The sequence below is a fragment of the Homo sapiens genome, chromosome 15 (genome assembly GCF_000001405.40).
Source record: "Homo sapiens chromosome 15, GRCh38.p14 Primary Assembly".
Taxonomy (NCBI): Eukaryota; Metazoa; Chordata; class Mammalia; order Primates; family Hominidae; genus Homo; species Homo sapiens.
Window position 1 is genome coordinate 21,499,081 of NC_000015.10, and position 15,702 is coordinate 21,514,782.

The 15,702-nt window shown below is 39.1% G+C and overlaps 1 non-coding gene and 1 pseudogene across 1 annotated transcript; one reads left to right on the plus strand and one right to left on the minus strand.

Annotated features, from left to right (window-relative positions):
• Positions 1-919: 919 nt before the first annotated feature.
• NF1P9 (neurofibromin 1 pseudogene 9) lies at positions 920-10,714 on the minus strand (annotated as a pseudogene).
• A 4,164-nt stretch (positions 10,715-14,878) lies between these two features.
• On the plus strand, positions 14,879-14,960 carry MIR5701-2 (microRNA 5701-2). The gene has a single exon (NR_049895.1). It is a non-coding gene; the product is annotated as a microRNA 5701-2 (primary transcript).
• Positions 14,961-15,702: the final 742 nt, after the last annotated feature.

A 15,702-nucleotide genomic window follows, 5' to 3' on the forward strand; every position in this document is an offset into this window, starting at 1 on the left:
TTTCTTTATGTTACAGTGTTTATTGCATGAAGAACAACCTTAACCCTTCAATAAGGGGAAACTGGTGAAGGTGGCTAAATATAGCTGCTTTATTAGAATGGCTTTAAAACCTAAATACCATTTATTTTTAGCTGAAATATATAAATTTAGAATTAGATATAGAAGTTTTAGCTAAAACTATAAAAAGATAAAGAATTAAGAAAAAATTTGAGTGCTTTGACTATTCCAGTATAGTGTTCAACCTTCTGGGGATGAGGAACCTCTTTGAAATCTGATAAAGGTTAGAAAAATGGATGTATGCTTTCACACAAATTTCTTCACATAATTTTAGAATATTCATAGACCATCACTGCTACTGAGTGGTTCTCTTAAAACTCCCAAATTTTAATCTCAAAACAGACAATTCTCTGGTTGGGCATGGTGGCTCACGCCTGTAATCCCAGCATTCTGGGAGACTGAGGCTGGTGGATCAATTGAGGTTAGGAGTTCCAGACCAGCCTGGCAAACATGGTGAAACTCCATCTCTACTAAAAATAGAAAAATTAGCTGGACGTGGTGGTGCACGCCTGTAATCTCAGCTACTTGGGAGGCTGAGGCACGAGAATCGCTTGAACCCAGGAGGTGGAGGTTGCGGTGAGCCATCGTGCCACTGCACTCCAGTCTGGGTGACAGAGCATGCAACTGACTGTGTAAAGTGATATGTAAAGTCATGGAAAAAGGAAAGAGCCTTAACTAGTAACGGTCTGTGGAGGTAGAAGTCAAAGACATCCTTCTCCTGTCTGTCCCTGGATCTAAGGCAGATAAAAAGAAGGATAACTTAAAAAAAATTACAGATATCATTAAAGAAAAGCATATTTGTATATAACTTTTATAATTAAAAACAAATTTTAATGATCAAGAGGAGAAGTTATGAGGGCCTTGCTTCATGCAGTGTTAGCAAAAAAAAAAAAAGAGCACTTTTATGTGAAAAGATGATAAAACTGGTAGGATCCACTTCAAAGCTAACATGTTGCCCATCAGAGGATGTGATCTCAATTCGTAATAAAGCATCCAGGAGTTTTTATAGATAGGTAGCACCATATACCTATAGAAATGCATGAGTAGGACTTCATTATGCCTGCTCCATACATTTTACCTTAAAAGAAGACAATCAGCTCTGCACATTCTGTACATAATCATTACTTGACATACCTCAGCACACACACACACAAAATGAATGATACAAACCTTGAAACAGAGTGTCATTATTTTACTGGCCAAACTGTTGCCTCAGAGGAGAGTCTGAATGGAGTCAGTCTGCCAATTCTACTTCTTTACAAAACATGTTCCAGAGCAGTTGGTAGAGTAAATGCCAAGAACCAAATAGAGTAACCAGAACTCAAGCCAGTTCATCCTGAGAACAAAACAAAATCAGGTTAGTGCATTTTTGTTCTCAGGTAGATAGCTGAAGAGTGGCAAAAACATAAACCCAAAGTTGACAACTACTTGCTAAATTAAGGCAAAGGTGACTGATTAATATTTCTCCTGAGATTTATCTGCGTATATTGTTTATGATAGATGACTATATACGATGTCTACGATAGCTGTTAATTCCAAGGATTAACCGGTGAAAGCTATTAAGAGAGGCCTAGGCTTTACCAGGAGACAAAATCTCCAAGATTCAGTTCAAATTACATCACAAAATGAAAGAGAACAGAAACAGAAGATGACAGCAAATACTTTAGTTTGATTTGTACAAGCATTTGCACAGAGCAGAAATAAGACTGATGATCAGAAGAGTTCTACTCTCTTCTCATACAGTCAGGGGAACTCAGTGAATGCTGAACATAGACTAGGTAGAGACATGACAAAAACAGAAAGACTATAGGATTTTTGAGAAATCAGGAAGAAAAGGAACTGGGCGTTCAGAACCCAGAGATCAGCCAGATTTACATACAAAGCAAGGGGGACAGGGATGAGGGCTGAAATTCCAATTACCTAAATGACATCCTTGTAACTCCCTGTAGTAAAGCAGTTTGGGGTACACTCAAGAAAAATGATCTACTGGTAAATCACTGTTTAATCACAAGAAGAAATTTATAGAGAATAGGGGTAGCCATAAAAAGATGCCTCAATCCTCAAGCAGTAACAACAACGGCCAGGATCATGGCCCATAGCTCTCTAATTCTTGCCTGGTCCCAGGATTACAATAATGTGATAGGTGAGATCTGGCCTAATAGAAAATTCCTTCTCAAAGTCATTTAATATAAAACTCAACAACAAATTAAAGCTACTTGAATTTAACTGATTCTTTATTTAAAAAATTACTGAGTATTTTCAGTGCTAATCATAGGTAGATCCTAATAAGATAATTCACAATAGTCATTTTCAAAACATTTGAACGTTTGTGAAGTAATTTTAGGCTTTAGGAAGATTTCAATGATTTGGGGCTGTTGCTAATCAATCAGTATAAAATTTCAGTTATACAAGGTAAGTTCTAGAGATCTGTGGTGCAGCATTCTGCCTACAGATAGCAATACTGTATTCTACACTTAAAAATATGTTAGAGGGTAGATCTCATGCTAGGCGTTCTCACCAAAATAAAATACCAGAGGAGAAGCATTTCAGGTGGTAGCAGCAGCAAGGGTGCTTAAGGCAGAAACAAGTCTAACAAGGAGGGACAGAAAGGTAGCTGGTGTGGCTTTGGTGAACAAGAAGGAAAATGGCATAAGATGATGTTAGAGATGAGGCAGGGCCCAAATCAGGTGGAGCCTTGTAGGACAGGATAAGGAGTTTGAATTTTACTTTAAGTACAGGTGTAACAAATATCCTACAGCTTTAAGCAGAAACAAATCTACAATGACAGATTACCTTATTAGTTATACTTTACTATAAGTGAAACCATTTTTGGTACACTAAAAAGGAAATAGCCTTTTAACACTGGAAAGGAACCACCACCCTTCTCAACGTTTTCACATGTATTAGGAATGATGTGATTTGAGGAAAATTTTTCATTAAATTAAGAGAGAGACCTAATAGCCATATGATGTTTTCAGTGTTTAAAACAAACAATATCATAATATCAAATGCAAATACAGTGCTTACATTTTTAAAAATTGTGTAAGATATTATGGGGAAAAGAACAGCAAACTGGAGGTAGTAAACAGGCACAAATCGTGGATTCCAATTCCAGCGTTGCGACAACTGACTGAAATTAGGTTTAACTTAATTACCTTCTCAAATATATGAAGACAGCGGAGTAGATCAGTGATTTTTAATCAGTGTTTAAATGGAATTTTTCAGTGGGATGAAATGATATAGGACACTATTCAGGTCTAGCAGTGCCAACCACTTCCCTACAGCTGAAAAGTCACCTAACTAAACATCTAAGATTTCTTCTGGCTCTAAAATTTTATCAATTCATTCAACAAACATTTATTGAACAAATATGTTCTGAAGGATTTGCTATGTGCCAGGCACTTTTCTTCCCCACTTACTCTATGCACTTACCCACTGAGAACAAGGAACCACACTGTTCAGAGCCATCACTATAGGGAGCTCTCCTTGATCACCCATCACTGTGACCAGTTCCACCAATTGCTCAAACCCATCAGCCAATACCGTTTCTGAAGTGTGTCAAATTCTGTGCCTTGTTGAGGGATTTTCATCAGAACTTCCATAAATGTAGCTGTCTGGAGATCCTTGTAGTACCCTAAACCTGATGTGGACAAATGGATGCAAATTTACTAACATGGCCTTACTGAAGTAATTTTTGCTTATCTTACAAGCCAGTTCTCTAGGCTGTGTATTTCTATATGAAACTTTCATTTGATCTCACCTATGGAGTGCATGAGACCACCGTCTATGCTGGCACTGAGTAAGTTTGACATTGCAAGGACTGCACAGTGCCTCCGTGATGCCAACCTCCGAGACATGCCACGTTTCCTGCCACCTGTTTGTGCACTTTCATCTTCAGCTTCACTGCAGTCACTCAAAAGGTTCATAAATAGTGTGAAGTATCTGAGAAATAAAAAGACTGACCTTTACATAGCAAAGGCCGTATCAACTAGAAAGCTAACCAGACATTCCAAAACTATCACATGTGCACGGTGTGACTGGCCCTGGATTAACTGCTTCTCTCCTCTCTCAGGATAATCAGCCAGGGTGACTCATTATGAAGCATGCTGTGTTGGGCATGATTATACCTGATATAGCCTAGCATACCTTTCATAACATAAGCATCAAATAGATGCAATGTTTCCTGGTAAATGTGTCATTTTTAATGTTTAGTATATAAAATTAGTGGTCCAAACAGCTTACACAATGTCACTTTTGTAAATGACTTAGTGAAGCAATCTGGGTTTTATTACAAGCAAAATTTCAGGGATCATATTATTTTCTTTAAAAATCATAAAACACAGTTATTTTCCTAATCCTAGTCCTGCATGGGGAACATTTCTTTGTTTTCTTTTTTGTTTTTTTGTTTTTGTTTTGTTTTGTCTTTGAGTGTGTGTGTGTGTGTGTGTGTGTGTGTGTGGCGGCGGGGGGCTTTATTTGCTTTTGCTTTGTGTTTTTTGGTGACTGAAATTTACTTAAGAAATAACTGTGTCCCCTTTGGCTTCCATCAATTCCACACCATCTCCTTCCTCAGGCTGCACAGGGAGACCAGCTAGAAGTGAAACTACTGCTTCCATGCTTGCCTGGTCCAAATCTCTGAAAAAAAAAAATTAGAGACCATAAATCTTTCAGGTTATTTCACTTCCTCTCAAATAAACCTCTTATTAACAGATATAAACTTTAGGAACTACCTGTTTCATTAAACAAATTATTAGCACAACCCAAATAATTTGAATTAATATGCAGATCCTAGAATACAAAATCATCTCAAATGAGGAGAAGACAATAGTAACTTTCTACAAAGTAATCTTGGCAAAATGACTATCTTCAATCAGAAGCATGTACAATTGGCCCTCTGTCTCAGCGAGTTCTGTATCCACGGATTCAACCAACCATGGATTGAAACTATTTGGGGGAAAAAAAAGTAGGGTTTCATCTGTACTCAACATGTAAAGATTTTTCTTTGTCGTTATTCCCTAAACAATATGGTATAACAACTTGTGTTTATATAAGATTTATATTTATTAGATATTATAAGTAATCTAATGATAATTTAAAATATATGGGAGGATGTGCATAGTTTATATGCAAATACTATGACATTTTGTATCAGGGACTTCAGTCTGTGGATTTTAGTGTTCATGGAAGTGAGATGTGGGCAGGAGTTTGGGGGGTGGTTCCTGGAACCAATTCCTGACAGATACTGAGAGACGACCATATTATAAAGCTAGGCTTGGTCAAAGAAACATATGTAAAGGCTTATTATACAGTCCATAGTGTTTAATCACTTTCTGATATGTGTCAATAAGCATTTATCATTAAAGCAGACTTAATTACACTTAATTACTTCCTTTTTTTTCTGTCTCTGGTGCCTGAATCAGGAAATCAATTATTTTTTAGAAAGACCAACACAATGAGTTCCTCAAATAATACCTTTTTCTATCTAATCATAACATAAATGCAATCTGAGGCTTTATGTACCTTATTTCCCAATAACGGTAGACTATTCTTCATAAACTGACAACACTAACTTCCCAAACATACCGCTCTCGCACATTTATTTTTACAGAAAGTCTATCAGTCAAAAAAAAGTAGTAATAAAGATTAGTATCTTTACATATTTCAACCACAAAAGTTTGACATCTAAAAAATTTAAATACACATAAAATACAAGTATAAAGCTGTAAGGAAGTAATTATAATTCTTACAGGAAAACCCACTAATACTTGAAGGTCATTCTCTTTTTTACCTTGTAATACATTTTACATCATCATCTGCTGCTTGGTTTGATGTTCCCATAACCCAGACTGTCAGGTATTCTACAATCTTATTCCTAAAGAATGGCGGAGAAAAGAGAAACAGCAAACAATTTTTTTGAAGCCACACACACACACACCTTTAATTGTGTAAGATTTCTTACAGTGCAAATAATTTGGCAGATAACTCAGGTGACATGACGACTTTATAAAAGAGATACTGATGTCACAGACGTAAAAGCCAGAAGGGAACAAGCAACGTGGATATTTAACCTCCAACATGGCCCTTATTTATGGTATCAAATTGGAAACAGAATCAAATTCTTAGCTCAAGTACAGCACAGTTTTAGAAAAAGGGAGGCTTGCCACAGGCACAAAGCTTACGGAAATTTGAGGAGAGACGTAGAGAAACACAAACATGTAAATTGCTCTCTTTTTATGTCTTCCTTCCTACCAATAACCAGATATCTACTCTATTTCTGTACTTCATTCAACAAATTAAGATTTACAAGACCCTACATTGCTCTTTTGAGAACTCACCTAAATTTCATCTCTTGGCAAAATAAGAGGTCATCTCTCCTTGCCATCGTTACTTCAACCAACTGACACAGTTTCGTTTTATTTGAATTGCATGGACCATATTCCCAAGCACACGAACATACCTATACAGACACAGAGACAATAAAAAAATTATCAGATATAGACAAAAGAGAAAGCATTCAAAGTACTTTAGTCATCAAATAAAATGAACTAAATGTAAGTCTGAAAACAATATTTATTTTTATGAGAACATACACACCTTCTGGTTACCTGACTGTCACACCCTAGTTTGTGTGCAGTAAAGAATGGCAAATTATTTTATCAATTACTACCAATATCAATGTGTAAGAGGTTTTTCTGATCTCTTAAAGTATGTTTCTGCTACATTTCAGTAGAACGCTTACCTGACCAGATATAACATCATTGGTTCAATGCTAGCTTGCCCTAGATGTTCAGAGCTGCCTTCAGTATGATTATCTAGCAAGTTCTTCATTATAGCTATGGTTTGCTCTACAAATTGAGTGTTGGTATCCATCAATAAAAACTATAGAAAGAACAAATGTATTAATCATTTGCCATCAATGCCCAGAAGACAGACCTCTAGAGAGATGCAACCGACTGATCTAAACACACAAACACAGAAGTGCACCCACAGGCACACAGCCAAACAAGCATACAGATACATGCAGACACTCATACCCATACACAAGGCAGGTATACCCTCAGGCACACATACACACCAGAGTTCCTAAGAAGCAAGCTGACCCCTACATTGAGATGACTCTTCTTTCTGCAATTTTTTGGCAATTTTTAAAAACTGTGAGCACCTAATTTAAATAATTGGAAAGAAAAAGCCTTCCTTATTTCAAACAAGGTGAAAAATAAAAAAGAGCACACTTTACCTGTCCTTGGGAGTCAAAAAACTTGCTGATGGCATTCTTCAGTTTGTTAAATAGCATCAGATAAAGAGCAGGACTCAATTCTAGACCCACCAGGTCCTTAACATTGGCCCGTATTTGAAGTCCCACTTTCTCATGGTTACACACCATTAAGGACAACAGCTGATCCATACATTTGCTGACAGGTGTACCTGCGTTTCCCTCTGAGGACATCACTGAAATCATGGAACCCTGACATTCACTGACTGGACCCATGGGTGGGCTATAGGTTGCCAGGCCAGAATTACTTCTCTGCTGGAGGCACACTCCCCCAAGGGCACAAAGGAAGCCAGTCATGTTGATCCATTCCTGTAGGGAGTCTGTGTCAGACAAATCTGCGCGTCCTCCTCCACTCAGATGGGATATTCGACTCCTAACAATGGTCATGTGAAACTTTCAGCAGCCTAAACACAAAATTTTTGGGCAAAGCATGAATTAAACCTAAATTAGTTGAGACTTGACAAATTACTCTTTATCCAACATTTCTTCCATGACAAAAGTACAAAAAATGTAAAAAACACATTAAAATCAACCCCAAAAATTACCATATACATTTTTAAAGAGCCACTGATTTATTTTTGTCATACACTAATATAATCGCCCAAGTATCAAATTTCTTTTAAAAAGCTTTGATTTCACATGGATGAACCTTGGAAACGTTATGCTAAGTGAAAGAAGCTAATCACAAAAGCCCACATATTCTAAAATTCCATTTACAGAAAAGATCCAGCAGAGACAAATCTGCAGAGACAGAAAGTAGATTCAAGGTTGCCTAGGGCTGGAGAAGCCGGGGGAAGAGAGACAAGAAAGTGGCGGGGAGGTGGGGTAGGGTGTTAGAGGCAGAAATAGCTAAAGGATACAGGGGTTTTTTTTCCTCAATTGATGAAATTGTTCTAAAACGGACTGTGGTAATGGTTGCACGACTCTGGGAATATACTAAAAACAGCCACTGAATTGGACACTTTAAATGGGTGAATTGTATGGTATATTAAACAGTTATCCCCCCAAAAGCTTTCATTCTAAAGCTACATGTCCCCTCCAAATAAAGCTATTAGGTACACAATTTTGCTTCATAAAAACATAACATTTTTCTTATTGTAATTAAGTATGACAGAAAAAAAACATGGGGGAATAACCAGTTTTTATAAATCGCCTAATAATGAGAGGAATATGAACATTACAAATCAATTACACACAAACACCAACTCATCAATTTCCAGAGTAACAGATAATATAGTCAATAGTAATAGTTGAATGAACTGTCCACATTTTAAAATTTCATTTAATCTATGGGTTCAATCTTTTGCCCAAGACATTCCTTAATTAGAATACTTAACAAAATAGCAAAATGAATTGTTTCCGTGTTTTTTTTCTCTACCTCTGTTGCTCCTCTTCTGAAAATTCTGTGAAACACCCTGATGAAGGGATAAAGAGCAAGAAAAGGTCTCTGCAACAGTCTCTAGCAGTGCTGCCCAGTATTTCTGTGATGATGGAAACATTTTCTCTCTCTGCTGTCCAGACTGTCATATGTGGCTACTGGGTACTTGCAATGTGGCTACTATATGATTGAGGAACTAAATTGTATTTAATTTTCATTATGTTAAAATTTAAATAGTCACACGTAGCTAGTGGCTACCATATTACGAAGTACAGGTCTAGATAAACCACAACTAAATATCAGTCTTCAGACAACTATATGCTTACTTTACTGAGTGACTCGTGAGAGATTACCAAAGAGAAGGACATATATTTAGCAGATCAGTTAATAGACAAAAGTCAACTTTACAGACTTACCTGGCTGTCATCCATTTTGGCTTTTGGATAGTTAAAGATTAGTTTTGTTGCTTGTTCCCATTTTGCATGTGTATCTTCCCAAGCCTAAAATGAAGGCAATTATCACTTGAAAGCAACTTTAAGTCTAGAGCTAAACGTCAATCAGCAATGGCCAAGTTTCAAACTTGATGTATAATAAGTACTCAGATATTACACTTCTAACACGCACATATCTTGGATTTACTTCAAAAGCTATTCCTGATTACACATATGTGACAATAGGTTTCCAAAATTGAGGGTGGGCGCCTAGGAGGGGTGTTTCTCTTGCTAAGAGCACACCTCAGTGTTTCCTGCAGTGGGATGCTAAGTGCGCCTCCGCAGTGCCATCACTCTTTCTGAAGTGCTGCTGTTCCTAAGCAAATACAACAGCCAATCAAGTCACTGCACTTAGAGCCCTGCCTGCCAATGGAGAACCTCATAAGCCCTACCCAAAAGGCAGAGTAGGAGGAGCAGAGCAAATGCCTCAAATGATAAAGCCAAAAACTTCCTTTCACTAACCTCACAGGAAAGGTACTTATCTTAGACTCTACAATGTCCACAGCACAAAATAGCTATTCCCACCTATAATTTACTCAAAACATATGCCAATGTGCATAAAACTTCACTATCTACAACTTAGGTGGAGTAAATTATATGATCACAACTGATAATAACATATACTGCCAGTTATTTTTAAAACGTATAGCATATTAAAAACTCAGTGGGAGACTATTTCAAATGCTTTTTCTTTTCATCTTTGTTTCATTTCTTTGTTCAGAAAAGGATTTCAAGTAAGCTACTTGAATTTCCCCTGTAAACTTACAAAGTAGTAACCTTAAATACATTCTCACAATTAGATGTCACGTGCTTCAGGCAGGTTGAGTAAAAAAACCACTATTCACATTTACCTGTTGACATCACATTGCTGACAGAGGCAAACTCCATGAATGTGCTACAGTTGGGCAAGAGGTGATGCACTGACACTTCATCCACCCCACACCAGGTATCTGCTTCCTCACAGAGGTGGCGGAAACAGGACATGGCAACCAGAACAGCTTCACTGTCAGGGTTCCACAGAAACATGTACAGCGCCACACTTCTAGTTTGGTCTGCCCTTGTTGGCAAATCGGGGAAGGGGGGGCGGGGGCGGTTGCACTTCATCCTGCTGCACTATCCTGAGAGTCAAAGTTGTAAGACATATATTTGCAACTTGGGTAATTTTATGTATAAAACCCAACAATGCAATAAACTGTGTGTGTGTGTGTGTGTGTGTGTGTGTGTGTGTGTGTCTCAGCATACAATAACTCACAAGAGTTTTCTCCTTTAATCATCACAGGAATTTTTCAAACCCTCAAATATCTTGTCCAAATGAGAAATGAGATTATCTGGACCAACATAAAGCTACTCTCTGTCCAATTTCAAATCAAATAGGTATTATCCTATTCCAGATTCCAGAAACATAAACTGATTCTAACATAAACAGGTAAAACACTGTAACATAAATCTGCTGCAGTAATGATATAATGTACTTACCAGTCAATTAGAAATGACAAAAAAAGAAGTAGGCCGGGCATGGTGGCTCATGCCTGTAATCCTAGCACTTTGGGAGGCCGAGGTGGGCGGATCATGAGGTTGGGAGATCGAGACCATCCTGGGCTAACATGGTGAAACCCCGTCTCTACTAAAAACATAAAAAAAACAATTAGCCGGCCGTGGTGGCGGGCACCTGTAGTCCCAGTTACTCAGGAGAGGCTGAGTCAGGAGAATGGTGTGAACCTGGGAGGCGGAACTTGCAGTGAGCGGAGATTGCGCCACTGCACTCCAGCCTGGGCGACAGAGTAAGACTCTGTCTCAAAAAAAAAAAAAAAAAAAAAAAAAAAAAAGAAAGCCTAGGTTTTAAAGACCAATAAAATAGTAAACGTGAACGAGGAAAAAAAGAAATGAGGAAACAGTTACAAACATAGATACTGAAGGTAATTATATGATAATATAGAAATAAAATACAGCCTTTAATTGTACAAGTAAAATATATAAATATTATATACAACTCTGCACTGATAAAATTGAAAAACATGTTTTGTAGGAAAGAACAAACCATGAAAAGTGACTTTAAAAATAATAGAAATTCTTCAAAAAATTAAAAATAGAATAACCATATGATCCAGCAATTCCGCTTCTGGATGTATATTCGGAAGAATGAAAGCAGGGCCTTGAAGTTATTTGTACACCCATGTTCACAGTAGCATTATTTATAATAGTCAAAAGGTGGAAACAACCGAAAAATCCATTGGTAGATACATTTAGATCAATAAAATGTTGGTATATACATACGATATCATTCAGCTTTCAAGAGGAAGGAAATCCTGACATGCTACAACAAGATGAATACTATTTCAGCCATAAAGAATGAAATCCTGCCTTTCAAGGCAACATGAATGGAACTGGAGGACATTATGCTAAGTAAAATAAGCCCATGTCAAAAAGACAAATACTGTATGATTCCACTTATGTGACATAGTGAAATTCAGAGAGACAGAAAGTAGAAGGATGGTTGCAGGAGTTGCAGGTAGGAAAGAATGGAGAGCAGTTGAATAGACACAGAATTTGTTTTGCACAATGAAAAGGTTTTGGAGATTGGTTGCACAACAATGTGAAAGATAGTGCTACTAAACTGTGTACTTAAAAATGGCTAAGATGGTAAATTTTATGTTATGTGTATTCTACCGCATAAAAAATTTTAAAGAGAGACAGAAAAACTACATAGATCCATAAGGCAGCTCAAATAAAAGGTGATTAAAGAGTTATTTTAAATAGACAATAGATAGGCTAGTTCTAGAAACAGCATAAGAAACCAGTAGCAGTACTTGACTTAGGAAGAAAAGTATAAACTGAAGGTCAAGAGGGAGTAGGAAGCTTACTTTTCCACTGAATTCCCTTCCTGATGTATAGTGAAAATTTCCATTATGTCAATTTATTTTTTTCTTTAAAACTAATAAGCAAAAGTCAAAGGAAATCTTAAGAGCTTCTAAACTTGATGATTTTACAATGAATTTCTATCTAATCAGATAATTTCTATTACTTAAATTATTCCAGACCATAGAAAAGAGTAATAGTTCCCAAATTCATATTCTAATTTAGCACAAATAAGTGTTAGAATAACTACTTTCAAAAGTGATAATGCATATTATGTTAAATATACACATGTTCTAAGAATCAGAAAGCTGAAACACTGGAAGGAAATGTTTTATTAAGTAGCTACCCAGTACATTTGCCAATAGCCAACCAGATTTACCTCACGCACACACACAAATCAACATACTAAAAGTAAGGATTTCCAAACATATTTCCACTCCAAATTTAAAGTGAAAGTTTAAATAACATATAAACCATCTGACTGGATACAATTCAGCCCTAAAGCTAGAGTTCAGGGCCCCTTATCTTTTGTTCATTATTAATTTTAAAATTTTTGATGTATTTATTAGTATTTATGAATAACATAGTAACATTCCCATAGATTTGCAGAGATCAAATCGAGGTAATTAGCATATCCATAATCTCATTTATCATTTCTTTGTGCTGGGAACATTCAACATCCTCCTCCTCTTTGAAACTGTGTAACATATTGTTGTTAATTACAGTCATCTTACAGTGCTATACAACACTAGAACTTGCTCTTCCTATCTAGCTGTAATTTTGAAACCTTTAACAAATTGCTTTCTACCATCCCTGCACCCTATGCTTCCCAGCCTGTAGTATTCTGTTCTACTTTTTACCTCTATGAGATCAACATTTTTTTAGCTTCCACAAATGAATGAGAACACACAGTACTTAATGTTCTGTCCCTGGCTTACTTCACTTAATATGATGTCCTCCAGTTCAATCCATGTGCCTCAAACTATAGGATTTCATTCTTGCTTATGGCTAAATAGTATTCCATTGTGTATGTATACCATATTTTCTTTATGCATTCATCTGTTGTTAGATACTTAGGATGATTCCATATCTTGGCTATTGTGAATAGTGCTGCAATAAACACGGGGGTGCCGATGTCTCGTCAATATACTGATTTCCTTTTCTTTGGATAAATGTCCAATAATATATTGTTGGACCATATAATAGTTCTATTTGCAGTTTTTTGAGGAACCTCCACACTGTTCTCCATAGTGGCTGTACTAGTTTACATTTCCACTAGCCACATTTAAGTGTTCACTTTTCTCCACATCTTTGCCAGCATTTGCTATTTTTTGTCTTTTTGATAGTAGCCATTCTAAGTGGGGTGAGATGACACCTCATTGTGGTTTTGATTTGCATTTCCCTGATGACTAGTGATGTTGAGCTTTTTAGGAAAACATATTTGTTGGTTATGTGTCTGTCATCTTTTAAGAAATATCTATTCAGGTCATTTGCCCATTTTTCAGTTGGGTTCTTTTTTTTTTTTTTTTTTGCTATTGAGATGTCAAGAGTTCCTTGTATATTCTGGATATTAATCCTCTGCTGGATACATACTTTGCAAATATTTTCTCCCATTCTGTAGGTTGTCTTTTCACTCTGCCAATTTCTTCCTTTGAATTAATATTAATTTTTTAAAGAAAAGTAACTTAAACGCTTGACAATATGGAATTAAAAATACAGTACCTTCAAGCTGGGTGCGGTGGTGCATGCTTATAGCTGCAGCTATCTGAAGGCTGAGGCAGAAGAGGATCGCGTAAGTCCAGAAGTTTGAGACCAGCCTGGGCAACATAACAGCAAGACTCAGTCTCTTTTTAAAAAATGGTATATTCAATTTGGGGAACATGCTACAAATCCTCAAAAAACGGGTACAGAAGAAACATACTGCAACACAATAAAAACCACATGAGAGACCCCCACAGCTAGAATCATATGGAATGGGGAAAAATGGAAAGCTTTTCCTCTAAGATCTGGAACATGATAAGGATGCCCACTGTCACCACTGTTATTTAACATAGTACTGGAAACCCTAGCTAAAGCAATCAGTGCAGCCCCTGATATGGCCCCCAACCCACCCTGCCCCCTGCCACCAGCAGTGTAGCCCCCCCGCAATAGCGCACCCAACACACCCAAACCGCCCCGCCTCCCCGAACCACGGGCATTGCAGCACCCCATAGCACCCTCAACCTGAAACCACCAACCCCCCGCAACAGCCGTGCAGTGCAGCCCTGGATAGGACACTTAGCCCACCTCACTGTTGCCAGCAATACAGTCTGGGATAGTTTCCCCAACAGGCTCCCCGCCGAGGGCAGTGCAGCCCCGGTTAGGGCCCCCAAACCACCCCCCGGTGCAGGCAGCACAGCCCCAGATAGCACACCTAACCAGCCACCCAAGGTGGGCAGTGACGCCTGAGATAGGGCCCCAAACCCGTCCCAGGCCAAGGGCAGTGCAGCCCTGGATAGCCACTTACCCCGATGCTTTTCTACACTCTGGCCGGTTGCAGTGTCCATCGCTGCCACCAACCGCAGCGGGCAAGGCAAGCCAGCGAGGCAAGGCGAGGCAAGCCGGCGAGGTGGTGAGCCAGGGAGGCCAGCCACAGCCCGGTAGGCTGCAGCCTCCAGCATGCAGTGGCTGGCACCTCCTACTCCAAGCTGGCAATGGAGCAGCTATGAAGTCAGACGCCGACGAGGCTGGACTAGTGCAACTCTATCTCTTAACATGCTTTATATACCGAGATTATAAACTACATGTTCTGAGTGGATGAGAGGAAAACACTAGGCCTACTCTGATTGGACTTTATTGTCACGTTCTGATTGGTTAGCCTAAGACTTGTTCTGATCCAATCAGAACATGAAAATAACGTCCAATCAGAGTAGGCGTAGATGTTTCTTTCATCCAATCAGAACGTGAAGTCCGAGAACCAGGCCTGCACAACCCCCAGTATATAAGCTATGCTAAGGGGGCGTCGCGCTGTTGCAGGCTATCGTGTGTTAGCCTCTACTTCTCCCGCAGAGTTTGGAGAAAGCGGCAGCAGAGTGTGCTGCCGCAGGCTGGAGCCTGGAACCTGGAGCCCTGGAGCCTTGAATGGTGTGTGGTGGCAATGGAGAGAGGCAGCTGGCAGTGACAGCTGCTCCGTGCTTGGCTACAGGAAGGAAAGAAGGAGAAGGCACCTACCATAGGCTGTAGGCTAGAGCCTGCAGGACTGCGGCTGGCCTCGCTGGCTCGCCTCCCTGGCTGGCCTCGCTGTGGTTGGTGGCAGCGACGGATACTGCAGCTGGCCAGAGTGTAGAAAGGCAATGGGGTAGGTAAGCTATCCAGGGCTGCCCGCGGCGGGGGCTGGTTGGGGTATTATTCCGGGTGTCACTACTTTGGGTGTACTAGAGTGTTATTTTGGGCGTCACTGCTTTTAGGTGTGCTATCCGGGGCTGCACTGCCCTCAGCAGCGGGTGGGGGGGGGGTTGGTGGGGGGCGGGTTGGGGTCACTATCTTGGGCTGTATTGATGGCAGCAGTAGGGCTGGTTGGGGGCGCTATTGGGTGCTGCACTGCCCGCGACAGGGGCCGGGTTGGGGCTGCTATTGTGGTTGCACTGCCGGCGGCATGGTGGTGGGAG